Raw genomic sequence first — 22,599 nt, 5'->3', positions numbered from 1 at the left:
ATGTAAAATCTTCTTGAATTTCTGACAATACAAATTAAACATACATTTTTAAATTTTATATTTCCCTATTTTCTTGAAAGTTGATTTTTTAATTGGGCTTGTTATCTTTATTTTCCCCTCTTCATCTGCCTAATATATCTGATAGTAATTCATTGTCCATTCGTATAAATAGGGTGATTGGTGATAATAAGCTGTAATAAATGATCAGTGCAGCAAACTAATGATTTTGTGCTATTAGCACAAAATGCTGTTGCTAATAGGAAACCCCTGGTTTTGATAAGTGGCTATGATGTGCTTCAGCCTGTGAGCTGTATAAATTTTGAGGGGTAAAGTTATCAAAAATACCACCTTTTCTTTCTAGCTCTAATATGCTTTGCGTATGGCATACAAAAATCATTCATTTCTGAGTAGAAAGCTGTTCATATGAGTTTTATTTAACCTAGGAACAAAGCACAAATAAAGCTATTGTTTTATGCAGAGCAGAGGATTGGTTAAGTTACTTACCCATTATGACACCATAAAGCACACTCTGCAAGTTTCCTGGGTTACCTTGTTAAATCAATATACATTTCTTCAGTAGCCCCTATAATAGTTCTGGTTGTTGATTTCAATGGCTGCATTCAGTTTTGTTGTTGAACAACACAGCTCTTTAATTTGTATAAACTCTCCAATGTAACTGTTGAGTTTTCTAACTATTAGGTATGCTATATATTTGTTTTATCTTCTTCTTTTGGTGAGATTTCAGAAAAAGGCATTGAACCCCATGCTTTCCATCACACACGGTGAGTGTTAGTAGTTTCAATGTATGTACATGCGGATTCATAGTCACTGATCCAAGCTAGCCCAGAGAGGAAACAGAAAAGATAACAGATAATCAACCAGGTAGACTAAATGCTACCTACCAAAGTGAGAAACATGATATAAATATAACAAACAGATGGAGGACTAAAGCCAGCCTGAATATTTGGAATAGTTCATAGAAGAAGAATGCTTAAACTGATTAAGAAAAATGTATAGATTTTCAACAGGCAAAGAGGGCTGAGGGAGACAGGATCCAGAGACAAAAGCTTCAAAAATAATATTTTATATGGAAAATGATATGATAAAAATTCCCTGAAAATCTTTTTATTATTCACATTTAGTTGCCACAACTAGAATAAAATATTCACGGACAGAGGGAAAGAGAGGTTAACAAACTGGCCTCTGGCCACTCTTACTTTCTTCTTCAGTGTTCTTAGCACTGCAGTATTATCTTTTGATAAGGCATATTAGTGTCAGAGTGATGCCATAAAGCACCTAAAACATTTTAATGTCGGTGTCCAAATGAGCACAGCTACCATGGTCTTTTGAAAGTCATTCAGCCTTATAATGAAAAATGTCAGCTGATTAATTTTTGTAGTTATGCCTCTCACTTTGTAACACCGCAGATGTTTCCTTCGCCTCAATTTAAACACTAAACATTCTGCAAAGCGTAAACATATTTGTTTTCCAATGTGCAATTAAAACTGCCTGAACTCTAGAGACGATAAGCAATATTATTTGACCTTGTATGGACTGTAGCTACAATATTCACCAACCAAATTACAATAAGACAAATAAGAGGTTAATGAAATTGCTTTGCTTCTTTCAAATTAACAATAAAGTATAATGCTAATCAAATGTTCCTTTCTACTTCCTTTCCCATTCCTTCTCCCATTGTGTGCTACATTTACATTGTCCTTAAGACTCATTTTTTTCAATACACTTTGCATTAGTATCTCTATCATATGTTTGTGTGTATGCTTCATATAATTTTTTTTAGTTTTTTCATTAATATGTAATTTTTACTATTAATATTACAAGGACCTCACATGCAAGGATTCAGTTTTGAATAATAATTTTCACATATTCTAAACAGTTTTGTTGAGGTATAATTGCACACATTTAAAATGTACAATAGTATAGGTGTTGACATATGTGTATGTTCAAGAAACCACTGCCACAATAATGATAAACACATCGAGCATTCCCAAAAGTTTCTACATGTTTTTTTTTGTAATACCTCCTTCCCTCCCCTCCATGGCCAATTCCCTTCCTCCACCCGCAGGCAAACCACAGAGAAGATTTAGGCAAAGTTTTCCTAGATTCATTTGCATTTTCTATTGGAGTATTTTTAATAAATGGAATCGTATAAGACTCCTAACTTGTTTCAGCATATTTATTTTTAAATATATTCATGTTATGTATTAATAGTTCCTTCCTTTTTGTTGTTAAATAGTATTCAATTTTATAGATACACTACAGGTTATTTACACATTCATCCACTGATTAACATTTGGGTTGCATTCAGAATCCAGCTATTACAAATAAAGTTGTCAGGATCATTTAGGTACAAGTCCTAATATAGACATATGCTTCCACTTATCTTGGGTAAATATCTACTAGTGGAATGGCTAGATTATATACAAGTGTATGCTTAATTTATTAAGAAACTGTCACACTTTTCCTGATATAGCCATACCATTTTATGTCCCCACTATCAATGTATAGGAATTCCAGTTCCTCCCTATCCTTGACAATATTTAGAGTCGTTAATTTCTTTAATTTTTGTCAGTGTCATATATGTGTAGTGGTATCCCATGGTTTCCATTTTTATTCTTCTGAAGATTATTCATATTCAGTATGTTTTCATATGCTTATTAATTGTAAATCTCTTGTAAATCGTTTAAATGTTTTGCTCATTTGTTTTACATTAGGTTGTATTAAGAGATATAAGTCTTTTATCAGAAATGTGATTTGGAAATATATTCTCCCAGTATATAACTTATATATTGAATATTTTTACAGTATCCTTCAAAGATAAGACATTTTTTATTTTTTATTTTACTTTTTCTGAGAGTCTCACTTGGTCGCCCAGGCTGGTGTGCAGTGGCACGATCTTGGCTCACTGCAACCTCTGCCTCCTGAGTTCAAGTGATTCTCCTGCCTCAGCCTCCTGAGCAGCTGGGAATATGGGTGTGCACCACCACTTCCAGGTAACTTTTGTATTTTTAGTAGAGACGGAGTTTCACCATATTGGCCAGGCTGGTCTTGAACTCCTGACCTTGTGAGCCACCTGCCTCGGCCTCCCAAAGTGTTGGGATTACAGGCATGAGCCACCGTGACCGGCCACATTTTTAATTTTAATAAGGCCCAATTTATCAATTTGTTCTTTCATGGACATTGCTTTTGGTATCACATCTTAAAATATGTTCATATAACCCAAAGTCACCAAGGTTTTCTTCATGTCTTATTCTGAAAGTTTTATAGCTGTAGATTTTACATTTTCATCCTTGATTCATTTTGAGTTAATTTTTGTGCATAGTGTGAAATATGGACCTAAGTTTATTCATGTATTTTGCATGTAGATATCAATTGCTCCAGCTACTGAATTGCCTTTACACATTTTTGTCAAAATCAATTGACCATGATTGATTCCACACATTTCAATGTGGGAATGTTCTTGGAGTCTGTTCTATTTTCTTTCACTGATGTATTTGTTGGTCTTCACGCCAATTCCGTAGTGCCTTGATGACTGTCCCACTGTAATAAATGTTAAAGTCATGTAGTGTTAGTCCTCCTGTTGACATTTTACAAAATTGTTTGGCTATTTCAGGTCCTTTGAATTTCCACATGAATTTAAATGTAAGTGTATAACTAATTTTTAAAATAATAAAGATTATGCATAATATGCATCTAATAGTGCAGGTACACACAAAGTAAAAACTAGACTGTAAACACTAGTGGCATAATTTCAAATAATTGCCCCCGAAAAGCATAAAGTATTTGAAATTCCTTCAGTTACAAAATTGACATAATAAATGCATTAAATTGGTCCCTTGTTTCTAAAAGGTATATATATTTTAAACAAATGAAGATTTTGTCTACTAGAGAGTTATATCTCAGAGCTGAAAAGAGTGATCAAGTTCAACTTCCTCCTAAGACTCAGGGAAGTCAAGAGATTTGCATAGAATTAAAACACTACCATCTTCAGTAGGCAAAGTTAGAAGCTATACTGACTGAAACCAATCCAATGTATTTTTCATTATACTCATCTGACTCACCATACGGCACTCAGTGAAACAGACTGTATTCCTGAAGAAATAAATGCACAAGTTATTTCTGGTGGTACATTTTGCTTTATGCAATAAAATTTACCTATATTTGCACTATTAACCTACAATGGAAATATGTTTTTATCTTCTGCCATAATGTGGTATCTCTTCATCTCCCATATCATCACTTTGTGAAGTTTATTTTACCTTAAAATTTGGAAGGATTTGTTCAATGTCCTTTGTCAGACTCTATCTCACTCTATGAATTTGGTCAAATCATGTTAGCTAGAGTGTTCATTTCCATATCTGAAAATGCCAGCTTTAAATATTAAGGTATTTATTAGCACCCAAAATATTAAAGTCTATAGTGTCTATTGGATATTTGAAATCAATGGATGAGAAAGATCAGTCAGTATGTTGAGAATAGAAGTATTGAAGTTATTCAGGTAATGCCTGAGCAAAAGGAAAAAAGAACCTTATCAAGAAGAGACTAAAATGTTTTTACTTCCTATATCAGGTTCTTCATGCAAGAAAATACTGCTATGGAGTCCTCTGCAGTAGGAACATTTCCAACCTTGAATGAAACCAAACTATCCATCAGAGAAAAGACTAATTAAAATAGACTTTGCTCTGGAGATTGAGATAGCACGCTCATGGGCCAAGGGCTTGTTAACTCTAGAATCCATCTTCAATTCATTTGTAGTTTATTAACTTCATAAAAGGCCATTGCTTTATTTACGAAATGATTGAAGGATTCTATGAGAAAAAATATCATAAAAGTAAGCAACCACTTTAATACTATCTCTCTATGCTACTAACATTGGTAAAAGAAATGTAATGTTCATGTCAGCCACCAAACATTCTTACTCATTAACCCAATAGTGACAGATACTGTCCAAGATCCAGAGCCACTCTTCTGTAGCTATGCCCTTTTCTGCTAATCCCCTCCAAATGACCTTTAGATAGTCCTGTTACAGTGCTTCCCAGATTATTCTCCAGTGTATGATATTTAGGGTGTACTTGTCACATCACTGAGAAGTTTGCTAGTAAGAAATATGTTTTTCAGAACAGCAAGTACAGTACAAATAAGAAGGTAGCAGAACAACAACACTTCCATCTCTAGAAGTTCACATTTTTGTTAACCTGAGGAAAATATTGTTTTGCCAAAATTTTATTATGGTATAAATCTTGCTATGTGGTAATTGATGTGATGTAACAGAAGACTAAAAAAATTACGTAATAATAATGTGGTAATATAGGTTGAGTATTACCTTATGTAAAATGCTTGAAACCAAAAATGTTTTGGGTTTGGGATTTTCCCACATTTTTAATATTTGCATATACCTAATGAGATATCTTGCGGATGAGAGCCAAGTCTAAATGTGAAATTCATTTATGTTATATATACACCTTATTATACACATAGGCTGAAGGTACTTTTTTTTTTAACAACATTTAAGTAATATTGTACATAAAACAAGTTTGTGTAAGTTACTTATGTACGGAATTTTTCACTCGTATCATCATGTTGGCACTCAAAAGGTTTTGGAATTTGGATCTCAGATTTTGGATTCTTGGATTAAGGATCCTCAACTTGTAAAATATAATATTATTAGTTGCATTGTATATCATATATAATAAACAATTTTAATAGCTAAACTGCAATAAGTTTTTACTATGTAAATTGATAAATGTAAAAAATTTACATTTCTGTTCTTTTACATACAACTCCTCTTTTTTAAAAAGCCATCTTTGTGATTCAGCTATTAAGGAAAGTTTTCAATTCCTCTGAGAGTAGCAAGGGCAATATCAAAGCTCTCTTTGCAACCTGGGAGTTCTTTTCATTCCGATAAATAAAATGAATTAACAATATTGCAGCAATTTTTAAAATTTGCTAATTCACCTTTCCACTATTGGAATTTTGTCATGAACATCAAGGAGATTTTTTAAAAGACACCAGTAAACAATTCTAAATGACATGTCAATTCAGAGACCTCAGAATCATGAATTAATAGTTAAGCATATTAATAGTGTTTAGAATAAAGCCTGTAGTCCAAAAAATAAAATGAATATTATATTGTCTGTTGATTATTTTTCCAAAAGTTGTATTGCAAATAGAACATTTCTGAAATTTTCAGATTCCCACATGAACTTTAAGGTGATCGAATACAACTGTTTCTAATTGTCTTTATATGAACAAAGATCTATTTGAAGCATATAGTTAAATATTTTGATAAGAAAATGTATAGTCATTTTATTCTTAAATTTAAATTTCAGTAAATATGTATTAAGTCATTATAGTGTTGCTTTAACTGGGTATGGCTTTATTAGCTTTTAAAATTTACTTTTCAAGGCAAAGAAAATAATCTTATTAAAACTGCAGGGAGGAAAGTAGGTAGGCAGAAGTAATTATAGAACTGGAACTTCTCCAGAACACTGGGGCTAACATCCTGATTATCAGAGCAACATTTTTTTATGGCTACAAGTGATTTCAGATGAGCCTAATTCATCAGTTCCTGCTTCCCCAAAGGCCACTTCTAATTCCTGCTGGAGCAATGGCCACCTGGTAAAATAGGTGATACATTTTCCTTTCAGTACACATTAACTTCCAAAATCCATATGTGAAGCTATACCTCTCATTGCTTAGGCAGTCTAAAATGGTTGTCAACATAAAGCATTCTATCCCGTTGTCTGAGGACTGCCTAAGACAGTTACCACAGACAGATGGGGTTACGAGGCCCTGAGAGAGTCAGATTTTCTAAGATAGCCCTTCCAGTGCATTAAGGAGAAACAGAAAGAAGGTATTGCCATTAAAATAAGATAGTGAATTCTATAGTTCAATGAGGTTTTAATCCTAGGGAAGAAAACTTCAGTTTTCTAGCTTTCATTTATTAAGTTGGACATTCACCATGTCTAAGATGCTATAGCACAAAAGTTAAAAACATGTAAAAACCAGGAAGACCACAGTATGAAAGAAAATCTTTTTACTTCATCCTATAAAAGCTAGCATTGAAGCAGGGGGCAAACATTTATCTGTAGAACCCCTCCCCAGCATATTATGTATAAAACATAAATAGATATTTGTTAGCGAGTGAATCCTATGAATCGTGACATGGGGATCAGTTCTCAGGATGGTGTGGGAGTTCAATCACAGGGGACAGAATAAAGAACTTAAAGAGACTGAAGTGGCTAAAATATGATTAAATTTCATAGGGGAAGCAAGGTAGAAATATCAGAATATGCTGTCAGGTCATTTTTCTAATTTGTAAACATTCAGGTCTGAATGACCTGAACTACTGCATAAAACTATTAGAAAAATTTGGTAAAAGTGAATCATCACCTTCACACTGAAAAAAAAAAATGAATGAATAAGTGAATAAAATGTATATTTATAAAATTAAAAGGCAATAATGTTCTCATGTTATCTACCGCTCTCAAGCTCCTGTCTAGAAGATGCCAGAATTAACACAATTTCAAAAAGTCACTTAAACCAAAAAAACAAAGAAGGAAAAACACACCTACCAATTAACACTTATCTTACTAAATTGCCTTTATGTGTTAGTTCTGAATACATGAAATGAATTCTGTTCTTGTACAAGTCACTGTCCCCTAAGTTGCAATCCTGTACTTACCTTTGTTTCCAGGAGGAACATGAAATAGCTGCTGTAAAATTAGAATGAGTATTTGCATCCAAGTCTCAAAGCAAACATTCAGTTGTAAATGATTATGGAAATTCGCCAGGAAATGCTAATTGGCTATATTTTAAAAATTTCAAATTTCAAAGCATACATCTTTATTGCATGTAACCAGAAAGCTGTCAATGTCATTCGGCATATCAAGATTTTGACATCAAACAGAGCTCTGTTTGTATTCCCACGTTTGTCACTTATTAAAAGAGTATGTTTTTATGCTATAAGTTTTCTAAATTTATTTTGGCCATGTATTATATTTTATTGTATTGCATTGTGTTGTGTTTTAACTTAGTCTTGTCATGAGAAATGGAAAATATAAAAACTTGGGGTAATTATGAGGATTAAACTATACAACAAGATTAAATAATACAACAAAAATAATACAAATACAGAAACTAATATATATTATATATATGTATATATGTATATAAACATTAGTTTCTTAATTTCTACCTTGTTATCCCATTTTTATCTCTGATACCTGCCTTACAAATACCAAAGTATCTATTCCTAGAAATTAATATGTGAATATAAAATAGAAAATGGAGCATAGAGATCTTCCAACCAAATAATTTATCTAGAAAGCCAATCCAAGGAACACAATGAGTAAAAAGAGAGTGTAAGTTCCACATTTCTATTGAGGAGTGACATGGAGGTTATTGATTAACCTTTCAGAATAAACTGACTATCTATTTTTTCTGTAACAGAATTTCACAAGAGATCATGAGAATTATCACTAGGTTGTCTTTAGTTTAACAGCCAAACTGATTTTACACAGTGTTATTTACAAACTGTGAATCTGAGATCCAGGATTGGCATAAGACTAAAGAATAATCAACATAAGCAAGAGGTCTTTTTCATACTATTTACCACACTTTATTGTAAATACTGGTGCGGAGAGCTTTCTTCCTGCCTAGTTGCTAACTTAGTCTGTTTGTGTTGTTAGAAAGAAATATCTGAGGCTGGGTAATTTATAGAGAAAAGAGGTTTATTAGGCTCACACTTCTACAGGCTGTAGAAGAACGTTGCTGGCTATTGCATCATGTGAGAGCCTCAGGCTGCTTCCACTCGTGGCAGAAGATGGGGAGCCAGCATGTGGAGAGCACATAGAGACAGAGAAAGCGAGAGAGAGAAGGGGGAGGAAGGTGCCAGGCTTTATTTAACAACCAGCTGTCCCAAAATCTAATAGAGCGAGAACTCACTTATTGCCACAAGGATGACACCAAGTTAACTACGAGGAATCTGCCCCATGACCTGAACACCTCTGATTAGGCCCATTGGGGATCAAATTTCAACACATAATTTGGATGGGTCAAATATTGAAACTATTTGCTAAATATTTTGAGATTAGGGACCAGACTTTTTAGTTTTACTATTTCTTTATATGCCTAGCACAGTGTCTGGCATGCAGAAAGTACACAAGAAGTGCATGGTAAATTAAATTACATGGGAAGATTCATCTCTGGGTTCCTTTTTCACACCAAAGTCATTGAATTCAGATCTATTTGACTTATGGTTGTAGAATTCAGGTACCTATCATGTGTTCAAACTAATAAATTACCCTAAAGAAAGCAATCCTGTGACTATCATCTGCTCCATAATTAGTAAAGGTCAGCCTCATGATTTTGGTAATAAAGAATCCTTTGTAGTCCTCACTGCTTCAAAAGCATTGGCACCAAAACATATTTCCCAATCTTACATGTTTGGAATAAAAAGTAAAATGAAAAAATACTGTAATAACAACTGTGTTTCAGAGTTTCGAGTTTGAGTAGAAACGTAGAGAAACATCAAAAAGATACTGGAGGTCATGGCCTTAGATGTAATTTAGATACAAGAAACTTCTGCATTTTGTTTAAAAAATTTTGTATGATTATTTAACATAGCATTTCAGAATCTTTTGCAGAAAATGCATCAGTGTAAAGGAATAGGGAGAAGAGACAGCCATATGCCTACTTAATGATGAGTAAGTACCTCGTACTCTGAATAGGATGTCTTAGAAATTTCATGCAGGTGCAAATTGGTAAATTTTAAAAATTAAATGAAACTTCAATTTTCAAGCATACCAGTTTGAGTACTAAGGAATCAGGATGTCAGGTACTAATAGAGATATTGTTTTGAAATAGTATGAGTTAAATAGAACACCCGTAGTACTTTCTGCAAATGGAATTAAATTACACAAAGAATATTCATTTCTCTTCAGATAAAATTACTTACTCAGAACAATGCTTGTAACAAGTCTGCAGTGGTAGAAATGAAAAAAATTAGATGCGTGTCCATGTACTTAAAGAACTATATAACTCAAAAATAGATTTTTATAATACTAAGAAACAGGAATAAAACTCAGATTATTCTACATTTTTTATGATCCCTAAATAAAGTGAACCACATAGCTATTTTGTTCCTATTACTTTTCTTTTTCATTTTTTATTTTGAGATAATTGTGGTTTCATGCATAGTTATAAGAAATAATATGGAGTGATTACTATACCATTCATCCAATTTACTCAAAATCGAAGCATCTTTCTTAAACCTGCTATAAGTCACAGCAAGGACATTGGCATTCATGAAAATCATTTGACTTTATTTCAGACCAACTAGTTTTACATGCACTGTGTGTGCATGTGTGTGTGTTTGTGTGTGTGTGCGTGTATGTGGCTGTTTTGTAATAAGCTATTTTATCATGGTTACATTTATGTGACCATCATGTGAGTATGTTTCAAAATCATTTTGTCCCACCTGTTTTTCTCTTATAGCCACAGCCACCACCCTCCACCACCACCTCCAACCCCTGGCAACCATTAATCTGTTTTCATCTCTACCTTGTTGTCATTTTAAGAATGCTGCATAGGTAGAATAATAGCGTATTATTTTGAGATTGGCTTTTTATATTCAACATAGTTTTTGAACCTGGATCTATGCATGCTGTTGTGCATATCAATAGCCTTTTAAATGCTAAATAGTATTCCATGACATGGGAATACCAAAGTTTTTTTAACATTCACTTATTAAAATTTCCAGTTTATGCCTATTACAAGTAAATCTGTTATGAACACTTCTGTATAGGTTTTTTTGTGACCTTAAGATTCCATTTATCTGGAATAAGTGCCTAACAGTGCAATTGCTGAATCCTATGGCAAGTGATATCAGACATATTTGTATGTGCTTTTTTCCACCGGTATATCTTCTAAAGTGAGAAGTATGTTGATTTATTTTGATCATTTTCTAACAGAATACTTTTTTGTTTTAACTAAATGTGGAGTGTTGTTTATATATTCTAAATAAAAATTATTTTTTAAATTTTAGATTCAGGGGTAGATATGCAGGTTTGTTACATAGATATATTGCATATAGGTGGGGATTAGTCTTTGAGTGTACCCATTACCCAAATTGTGAACATTATACCCAATTAGTTATTTTCAACTCTCATACCCCTCAAGCCCTATCCTCTTCTGGAGTCCCCTGTGTTTATTATTTCTGTCATTGTCACCTTATGTACCCATGTTTTAGCTTCCACTTACAAGTGAAAGCATGTGGTATTTGGTTTTCTTAGTTCACTTAGGAAAATAGGCTCCAGCTCTATCCATGTTGCTCCAAAAGAAATGATTTCATTCTTTTTTATGACTGAGTAGTATTCCGTGTTGTATATATACCACATTTTCTTTATCCAGTCAACCATTTAAAGACACTTAGATTAGTTCCATGGCTTTGCTATTGTAAATAATGCTGCAGTGAACATACAAGTTCAGGTGTCTTTTGTATTTAATGATTCTTTTTCCTTTATATAGACACTCAGTAGTAGGATTGCTGGGTCAAAAAGGTCTTTAGTTCTTAGAGAACTCTCCATACCATTTTCCATAGAGGTTTAGCTAATTTACTTTCCCACCAACAATGTCTAAACACAAATTCTTCATCAAATATGGCCATGTGACACAAAATGACATTCAATCAACTATTGACTGCATCCCCCAGTAGAGTAGTACATTTGTTACAACTGATGAGCCAACACTGACACATCATTATTGCCCAGAGTACATAGTTTAGGCTCACTCTTGGTGTTGTGTGTTCTATGGATTTGGAAAAATTTGGAACAACATGCATCCATCACCATAATAAAATACAGAGTAGTTTCACTACCTTAAGAATCCTGTATACCTATGTATTCATCCCCCTGCTCTTCCTCTAACCACTGGCAACCATTGATCTTTTTGCTGTCTCCATGATCTTGTATTTTCCAGAAAGTCATATGTTCCAAATATACACATTCCAATTTAAGAGAAAATGCATTCAACATTTCACCATTAAGTATGATGTTTACCATAGGCATTTGTAGATACTCCTTTTTTTCATTATACTTTAAGTTCTGGGATACATGTGCAGAACGTGCATGTTTTTTACATAGGTATACATGTCCCATGATGGTTTGCTGCACCTATCAACCCGTCATCTACATTAGGTATTTCTCCTAATGCTATCCCTTCTCTAGCCCCCCACACCTGACAGGACCCAGTGTGTAATGTTCCCCTCCCTGTGTCCATGTGTTCTCGTTGTTCAACTCCCACTTATGAGTGAGAACATGTGGTGTTTGGTTTTCTGTTCCTGTGTTAGTTTGCTGAGAATGATGGTTTCCAGCTTCATCCATGTCCCTGCAAAGGACAGGAAATCATCCTTTTTTATGGCTGTACAGTATTCCATGGTGCATATGTGCCACATTTTCTTTATCCAGTCTATCATTGATGGACATTTGGGTTGGTTCCAAGTCTTTGCTATTGTGAATAGTGCTGCAGTAAACATACGTGTTCATGTGTCTTTATAGTAGAATGATTTATAATCCTTTGGGTATATACCCAGTAATGGACTTGCCGGGTCAAATGGTATTTCTGCTTCTAGATCCTTGAGGAATCGCCACACTGTCTTCCACAATGGTTGAACTAATTTACACTCCCACCAACCGTGTAAAGGTGTTTCTATTTCTCCACATCATCTCCAGCATCTGTTGTTTCCTGACTTTTTAATAATTGCTATTCTAACTGGCATGAGATGGTATCTCATTGTGGTTTTGATTTGCATTTCTCTAATGACCAGTGATGATGAACTTTTTTTTACATGTTTGTTGGCCACATAAATGCCGTCTTTTGAGAAGTGTCTGTTCATATCCTTCACCCACTCTTTGATTTTTTTTTTTTTTTTGTAAATTTAAGTTTCTTGTAGATTCTGGATATTAGCCCTTTGTCAGATGGATAGATTGCAAAAATTTTCTCCCATTATGTAGGTTTCCTGTTTATTCTGATGCTAGTTTCTTTTGCTGTGCGAAAGTTGTTTAGTTTAATTAGATCCCCTCTTCAATTTTGACTTCTGTTGACATTGCTTTTGACGTCTTAGTCGTGAAGTTTTTGCCCAAGCCTATGTCCTGAATGATATTTCCTAGGTTTTCTTCTAGGATTTTTCTGGTTTTAGGTCTTATGTTTAAGTCTTTAATCCATCTTGAGTTAATTTTTGTATAAGATGTAAGGAAGGGGTCCAATTTCAGTTTTCTGCATATGGCTAGCCAGTTTTCCCAACATCATTTATTAAATAGGGAATCCTTTCCCCATTGCTTGTTTTTGTCAGGTTTGTCGAAGGTCAGCTTGTTGCAGATATGCGATGTTATTTCTGAAGCCTCTGTTCTGTTCCTTTGGTCTATATGTCTGTTTTGGTAACAGAATCATGCTGTTATGATTACTGTAGCCTTGTAGTATAGTTTGAAGTCAGGTAGCATGATGCCTCCAGCTTTGTTCTTTTTGCTTAGGATTGTCCTGGCTATACGGGATCTTTTTTGGTTACATATAAAATTCAAAGTAATTTTTTCTAATTCTGTGAAGAAAGTCAGTGGGAGCTTAATGGTGATATCATTGAATCTATAAATTACTTTGGGCAGTATGGCCATTTTCATGATATTGATTCTTCCTATTCATGAACATGGAATGTTTTTCCATTTGTATGTTTCCTCTCTTATTTCCTTGAGGAGTGGTTTGTAGTTCTCCTTGAAGAGGTCCTTCCCATCTCTTGTAAGTTGTATTCCTGGGTATTTTATTCTCATTGTAGCAGTTGTGAATGGGATTTCACTTATGATTTGGGTCTCTATTTGTCTATTATTGTTGTATAGGAATGCTTGTGATTTTTACACATGATTCTGTATCCTGAGACTTTGCTGAAGTTGTTTATCAGCTTAAGGAGTTTTGGGGCTGAGACGATGGGGTTTTCTAAATATACAATTGTTATCTGCAAACAGAGACAGTTTGACTTCCTCTCTTCCTATTTGAATACCTTTATTTCTTTCTCTTGCCTGATTGCCCTGGCCAGAACCTCCAATACTATGTTGAATAGGAGTGGTGACAGAGGGCATCCTTGTCCTGTACCGGCTTTCAAAGGGAATGCTTCCAGCTTTTGCCCATTCAGTATGATATTGGCTGTGGGTTTGTCATAAACAGCTCTTATTATTTTGAGATAGATTCCATCAGTACTTAGTTTATTGAGAGTTTTTAGCATGAAACGTGGTTGAATTTTATCGAAGGCCTTTTCTGCATCTATTGAGATAATCATGTGGTTTTTGTCATTGGTTCTGTTTATGTGATGGATTACTTTTATTGATTTGTGTATGTTGAACCAGCCTTGCTTCCCAGGGTGAAAGCCGACTTGATCATGGTGGATAAGTTTTTGATGTGCTGCTGGATTCGGTTTGCCGGTATTTTATTGAGGATTTTCTCATCGATGTTCATCAGGGATATTGGCCTGACATTTTCCATTTTTTGTTGTGTCTCTGCCAGGTTTTGTTATCAGGATGATGCTGGCTTCATACAATGAGTTAAGGAGGAGTTCTTCTTTTTCTATTGTTTGGAATAGTTTCAGAAGTTATGGTAGCAGCTCTTCTTTGTACTTCTGGTAGAATTTGGCTGTGAATCCGTCTGGTCCTGGGCATTTGTAGATACTCTTATCAACTTGAGGAAGTTCTTTATTCTTATTTTGCTAAGATTTTTGTATTGAGAAGGTTTTAAATTTTGTAAAAGGATTTTTCTGTGTCAGTTGGTTATAATGACATAATCTTCTTGTATAGCCTGTTGATATGGTGGATTCTATTTATTCATTTTTGAATGTGAAACCAGTTTTGCACACCTGGAAGAAAGCCCAATTGTTCATGGTGTATTCTTCTTTTTTACATTGTTAGATTTGATTTGTTAATGTTGTCTTAAAGATTTTTAAATTTAAGTCTCTGGGAGTTTTTTTTTTTATTTTTCATTTTCTGGACTGTCTTTCACTGGTTTTACATTTAGGGTAGCAGTAAGCCCTCATCATGTGAGTTGGGGAGTGTTTCTTAGTGTCTTTTCTGAAAAAGATTTTGTAAAATTGGTTTTAATTTATCATTAAATGCTTGTGTGCATTCTTCAGTGAATGCATATGGGCCCAGATATTTCTACTTACAAGGTTTTAAAGTACAAATTCAATTTCTTTACAGGTAATAGGACCCTTCAGATCATTTCTTTAATTTTGATTACTTTTGAGGAATTTCTGATTTTCAAGTAATTGAAATGGGCGTAGATTCTGTCATGATAGCTTCCCCAATTTGATTGATGTCTTTATTCTTATTAATTTGTCAATGTTTCTAGAGATTTACCAATTTTATTTATTTTGACGTAAGAATCAAACCTTTGATTCATTGATTTTCTCAATTGTTTTGCTAGTTTTGATCTTATTGATTTCTGCTTCCATTGTTTTCTTTCTTGTGCTTTCTTTGGGCTTATTTTCCTCTTCTTTTTCTGGTTTCCTAAGTTAAGATATTATATTATTGAGACCTTTACTCAAGTTTTTAGTGATATAAATTTTGCTTTTTAGTTATATACATTTTATAGCTATGTCTTGCATACATTGATGTCTTGTATTTTCATTCAGTTCTATGAAGTTTTGCTATTTTTTTCGCAATTTCCTCTTTGACCTGTGTATTATTTAGAAGTGTTTTATTTATTTTCCAAGTGTTTAGAGTTTTAGCTGTTGTCTTTTTGTTATTGTTCCCTAGTTTGATGTCACTGTGGTTAGAAAATACAAACCATATTATTGCAAATCATTGACATTTGTTGAGGCTTCATTTATGATTTAAATGTGTTCCATTTTGGACATTTTCCATGAACACATTAATACTATGTGCATTCTACTGCTGTTGTATATTCCTTAAGTGTTGATTAGATCTTATTGGTTGATGATGTTTATTTCATCCTTTCTAATATTCTGTCTGCATATATCAACCATTGAGTGGGGTGTTGAAGTCTCCTCCAATTCGTATTCTGGATTTTTCTATTTCTTCTTTCATTTTTTTTTTTCACGTATTTTGTAGGTCTATTGTTCAGTGCATTCACTTGTAAGATTGCTTATACCTCCTTGGTGGATGGACCTATTTATCTTGTTAATTGTCTTTTCTGTGAAGTAAACTTCATCTCACATTAAGATAGACACTCTTGCTTACTTCTGTTTGCATGGTAGATTTTTTCCAACATTTATTGTCATCCTACAGACACCATTGTACCTGAAATGAGTACTTTTCTATACAGAAATACATATAATTGGGTCATGCACTTTTTTTCTAGCTGTTGATTTCTACCTTTTAATTGGTATGTTTAGGTAAATAACCTTTAATGTTATTATTGGTATTTTAACATAATTCAGATAATTCTTTTTTATTTTATATATTTAAGGTATATAACATGATGTTTTTATATACAATATGTAGTGAAATGATTTCTCCAATCAAGAAAATTATCCTCTTTATTATCTTCCATAGTTACCTTCTTTTTCTTTGGGTGAGAACATCTAATATCTAGTCACTTAACTAATTTTCAGTATAAAATACAGCATTATCAACTACTATACTCATGCTGTACATTAGCTCTATAGACTTATTTTTATCCTACGTAACTCCAGGTTTATACACTTTGGCCTATAACTTTTTAAGTGAACATATTTTTTCAATACTCCCGGTTAGACATATGGGAGTGAAATTCCTGGGTCATCTGATTTAAATTTTGAGAAAATGCCAAATTGTTTACTACAGTGCTGCAACATTTTATATTCCTACCAGCAATCTAAGACCGTTCCAATTTCTCTACAACCTTGCTAATGATTGTTATTATCATTAATTTTCATACCCATCCTAGTGGATATGAAGTGGTATCTAATTATGAATCTCATTTGCATTTGCTTAATGACTAATAATGTTGAGCATCTTTTTCTGTGCTTGCTGAGAAGGATTAGTATTAATTCTTCTTTAAATGTATGGTAGCATTAACCAGTGATTGCATCCACCCCTGAGTTTGTCTTTGTTGAGAGATTATTACTGATTTAATATTCTATTATAAATATATTCATATTGTCTATTTCTATTCAAATCAGTTTTGGTAGTTTGTGTGTTTCTAGGAGTTTGTCTATTTCATCTAAGTTTTCTAATTGTTAATAGCATTATTCTATAATCAGTTTCTATGCGGTCCATGATAATGCCCACATTTTCATTTTTAAAATTAATAATTTGAGTCTTCTCTTTTCTTCATGGTCCGTCTAATTGAAGATTTCTGAATTTTGTTGATTTTTTTAAACCAACTTTAAAAAAATTTTAATTGACATATAATAATTGAATATCTTTATTGTGGAACATATGATGTTCTGAAATAGGTATATACTGTGCAATGTTTTAGTTGAGCTTACTAACATATGCATTGCCTCACATACTTACCATGCTTGTGGCTGAGAACAAAATTATTTCTTTGTGTTGTGTTCAATTTTCTCTTTGTTCTAGTTTATTAAAGTGAATGGTTAGATTATTTATTTGAAATCTGTCGTCTTGTTTAATGTGTGTTTTTACCACTATAAATTTTCATTTGAGCACTGCTTTCTCTACATCCCATATATTTATTTTTGTATATTTTGTTTTCATTTTTTGTTTATCTCAAAGATTTTTATATGGGCTGAATGTTTGTTTCCCACCAAAATTTTTATATTGAAGCCCTATCCCCAATGTGGTAGAATTGGAGATTGGGGCCTTTCATAAGTGGTAGTTTATGAGGGTAGAACCCTCTTTATAGGATTAGTGCCTAATATGGTTTGGCTCTGTGCCCCACCCAAATCTCATCTCAAATTGTAATCCCCATGTGATTGGATCCTGGGGTTAATTTCTTCCAGGCTCTTCTTGTGATAGTGAGTGAGTTCTCACAAGATCTGATGGTTTAAAAGGTTGCCACTTCCCGCCTCACTCTCTCCCTCTCCCTCTCTCTTCTGCTGCCATGTAAGACATGCCTTGCTTCTCCTTCACTTTCCATCATGATTGTAGGTTTCCTAAGGCCTCCCCCGCCCTGCAGAACTGTGAGTCAATTAAACTTTTTTTAAAGTAAATTACCCAGTCTCAGGTAGTTCTTTATAGCAGTGTGAAAATGGACTAATAGTCACTTATAAAAAGGGACACAGAGAGCTTGTTTTCTATTTCTATCACTTTGTGCCATGTGAGAAAATCAGTAAGACAGCTCTTACCAGGACCCAACCATGTTGGCACCTTGATCTCAAACATCTTACCCTCCAGAACTGTAGGAAATGAATGTTATTCAAATACCCAGTCTATGGTATTCTTCTTATAGCAGCCCAAACAGGTAGTAGTTAATAATTTTCTTTGTGATTTCTCTTTGGAAACTTTAGTTATTTATGAATATGTTGTTTAATTTTCACCTATTTGTTAGTCCCCAAATGTTCTTCTATAATTTATTTCTAATTTATTTCCATTGTGGTAAGAGAACATTATTTATATAATTTCAATGGTTTTAAATTTATTGTTATTTGTTTTGTGGCCTAGCACATGGTCTGCATTGCAGAACAGGCATATTACTAATATTGGTTGGCGTTTTCTATGGATCTCTGTTACTTTATCTTGGTTTTTACTGTTCTCAGAGTTTTAATATTTTTGTTGATCTGCCCCTCTAGTTTGTATTCATTATGTAAAGTGGGGTATTAAAGTCTCCATCTATTAATGTTAAAATATTTCTTCTTTCAATTATGTCCATTTTTACTTCATGTGTTTTGAGACCCTGTTTTTAACTGTATGTATATTGATAATTCTTATAGCTTCTTGATGAATTGACTTTTTTCTTTATAATGTCCTTTTGTGTCTCTAGTAAAATTTCTGTCTTAAATTTTATTTTTTCTGAGATATATTATATTCATTCCAGGTCCCTTGTGGTTATGTCTTGCCTAGAATATCTTTTATCATTCTTTCATTTTCAATCTATTTGTGTCTTTAAATTTTGAATCTCTTATAAGCAACACATAGTTGGATAATGTTCTTTTTATTTTACTTTTAATTTATCCTGTCAATGTCTGCCTTTTAATTAGAGATATTATTCTACTTACACTTAACATAATTACTTACAGGGAAGGACTTATTCCTATTATTTTGCTATTTGTTATTGTTTATCTTATTTCTTGTTCTTCAAATTTTCCATTATTTTCCTCTTTTGTACTAGATATATTTTAATTTTCTTTTCATTGTTTTTATTATGATTTTATTTTCATAAACTACATCTTTATACATTGTGTGCCCATCAACATATATTTGTAATTATTGATATATGCAATTATCTGTTAAATAAGATAGGAAAAGAGAAAATACAAAGGCTATTAAGGCAGTCTTTTATGTTTACTTAAGTAGTTATCCTACTGTTCTTTATTTATTTATATGTATTGAGCATACTATCATGTGTCCCTTCATTTCAGCCTGAAGGACTTCATTTAGCATTTTTTTGTAGGAGACATTTGTTAGCTCATATGGTTTCTTACTTATTTGGAATATATTTCTCCTTTTTAAGGACAATTTTATTGGATATTGTAGGTTTATGGGTTTTACTTTTTCTTTTAACATTTTAATTATATCATCCCACTGCCTCTGGACACCATAGTTTCTGGTAAAAATCAGCTATTGAAGATGTTTTGTACCTGAGTTACTTCTCTTTTACAGCTTTCAATATTCTGTCTTTGCCTTTGGCTTTTGACAGTTTGATTATGATGCGTCTCCCCCTCCTTGGGGTTTGTTTTTACTGTTTTCTGCAGTCATTGTTATTTGTTTGCTGGCTTTTCTGAACTAATTCTGGAAAATCTGTGTTACTGTTATGTGTGGCCACTGAAGCCAATGTTTAATTATCTAATGATCAGCCAATGAAAATAGGCAAAGATTTTCTTAAATGCCTAGACCCAAAATAACTCTATCTTTTTCTATAGGCTGTGTGTGTGTGTGTGTGTGCACGCTGAATTACACCCTCAACACTCAGCTAGGCAATTTACAACTTTGCCTTAGCCTTCAGCTCCTGATTGCAGAAATTCTCAAGGTCTGCCAAAGATGACATCTAGGGCTTTCTCAGTTCTTTCCTGAGCACGCAGGAAGGACAGAACCTCAAGCATTCTAACTGACATTCTAGGCTCCCAGAAATATGCCAGAACTTTAAGAGTTTTTATTTAATAAACCATCTCACCCATAGACTTTCCTCCTAATATTTTTGATTAATCCATTGTTTGTTCCAGTGTTCTTCATTACCTGATGTAATAGCAACCGAAACATTTGCATTTAAGTATTTTTGACAAATTCCCTCAGGCAGCAGCTTTATTAGGTGAGTTCTGAGTTATGTGAGGTAAACGCAAGCCTTCTGAGTGGGCCTTCGAGAAGTCACCAGATAGATCAACTAAGTTCATTCTGTTCTCTCCACCTATATGAAGAAGGTAGGCTGTTATTTTCAAGGTTACCAATGAACTGTGGAACAAGAGATGGAACTAGGATCAGTTAAAATTACACAAATGTTGCTGCTCTTTGATATTTGGCAGGTTTTATTGAATAAACACTCTCTAGGTTGCCATAAGCTTTTAGTTAATTTTCAGAGTTTTGCACTATTGGTTTATCTGGGTTACTGGCTTCTCCAGTGGCAAATATAGGCTATGTGAGACAAAAAAGAAAACTCAAGAAACTGACTACTGTGTTATTATTTGAATTCTGAAGTTCCTAGCCTGTTTGACTTCTGATTGACTTTTGACTTTTCTCCAATTTTCAAGTTTTCTTAAAAATATTTAATATATAATACATAATATATTTGATACTAAATATTAATATGTAATATAGCTATGCTTAGTGGTAGAAATAGAGAAAAGTATGCTCAACCCATCTTTATGGAGGGAAAAGTCTTTTTAAATGTTATTTTAGGATCTTTTTTTTTTTAGAAATTATATACACACAAACATCCACACACATACATAAATACAATTCAGCCTTTAAAAATGACAATAGACAGTGCAATGACAAAGAGTGTGAGGGCTAATCGCCCGTACCAAGCTTACTGCCTTGTGAGGAAGATCAATAAGACCTAAGAAAAAATGAATAGCATACACAAAAAATTAATTTAAAATAGAAAAAATAGGATACATAAAAAATTAAGATTAAAGTTGACCTATTATAAAAGATTAAAAAGCCACTGATTGATGTTGACATGAATATAAGGGCGATGCAGGGGTGTCTCTGTAGGATTTCAATGCAAAGATAATTTTTTGAAATTTTTAATTTTTGTGAGTACAGAGTTGGTATATATATTTATGGGTTACATGAGATGTTTTGATACAAGCATGCAATGCATAATAACCACATCATAGAGAATGGGGTACCCATTCCCTCAAGTATTTATCCTTTGTGTTACAATTATACTCTTATAGTTACTTTAAAATGTACGAATAAGTTACTAGTGACCGTAGAAGTTAGTATAGTATTGGAGACAAAGGAAGACTAGAGAGTCAGGCGCCTAGTGAGCAGGGAAACAACAGAAAAATGAGCACCTTATTAATGTGAAACGTATCTATGACTATCGATAGAAATACAATAGGTATAGATAAATTTCAGGAATTGTGTTTTCTGTAAGGGCAGGGATCAACTATGTTACAATGATTTTCTCTAGGTCTTGTTTTGGCATGACTTGAACTTCTTGGCTTTTTTTGTATTGCTTAAATTTGACAATAAAAGGTATAGAATATTTAATAATAAATAGTATACTATTTTGAGAAAAATAATTTTAAAATTATTTTCTAGCTTGTTTATACCATTCAAATAGCCTTCCTCAGCCTCGTTATAAATAAGTTTCAATTTGTTTTGGATCGACAATCACCATAATCAACTATCAGGAGATGTATTGGCACATCATGTTATGGTGATTGAGGGGGAGAACTGGATAGATTACACTGGTTATAGGATAATTTTCTAGTTTTGTTCCAGTCAATATGAAAACTCGTGAATTTTTTAAAAATGTAAGGAAGATTATGAAAGCTTGAGTTGAACTATAATATATTACCCAATATTGCACATCATTGGTTAGAAAGCAGGTGTAAGAACAACAAGAAAAAATGCTTGGTATAAAATTGTAAACTTTAACATACAGAATACCTTGGAATTATTTCACTGAATCTAATTGTACCATATGCATATGAACCAAAAAAGAAAACGACTTTTGTTACAGAATTACACACTGTAATTTAGCAACCTGCAGTTGACTTAATAGAATCACTTAGAATGGATAAAAATATTACTCTGTATGTAAATTATCAGCACAAGGAGTATATGCATGAAATTATTTGAGCAAGCAATCGGCCAGATTTTCCTAGGAGAACACCTATCTATTTGAAGCATATTTAAGTAATTATCTATGACATGCCTCTACTTTCCTACAGTGACAACACTGAAATAAGAGCAGAGAGATCACTTTCTAGTCCAGATTTTGTCAATGACTGGTTGGATAAATATGTATTTC

General features: G+C 33.2%; 1 long non-coding RNA gene across 1 annotated transcript; it reads left to right on the top strand.

Annotated features, from left to right (window-relative positions):
* Positions 1 to 624: 624 nt before the first annotated feature.
* On the top strand, positions 625 to 4,693 carry LOC105376005 (uncharacterized). Its single transcript, XR_929535.2, has 3 exons — positions 625 to 782; positions 3,635 to 3,663; positions 4,591 to 4,693. It is a non-coding gene; the product is annotated as an uncharacterized LOC105376005 (long non-coding RNA).
* Positions 4,694 to 22,599: the final 17,906 nt, after the last annotated feature.

Source organism: Homo sapiens, chromosome 9, assembly GCF_000001405.40.
Source record: "Homo sapiens chromosome 9, GRCh38.p14 Primary Assembly".
In the NCBI taxonomy this organism is placed as follows: Eukaryota; Metazoa; Chordata; class Mammalia; order Primates; family Hominidae; genus Homo; species Homo sapiens.
Note: the sequence above shows the minus strand (reverse complement) of the source record. Positions and strands in the feature narration are given on the sequence as shown.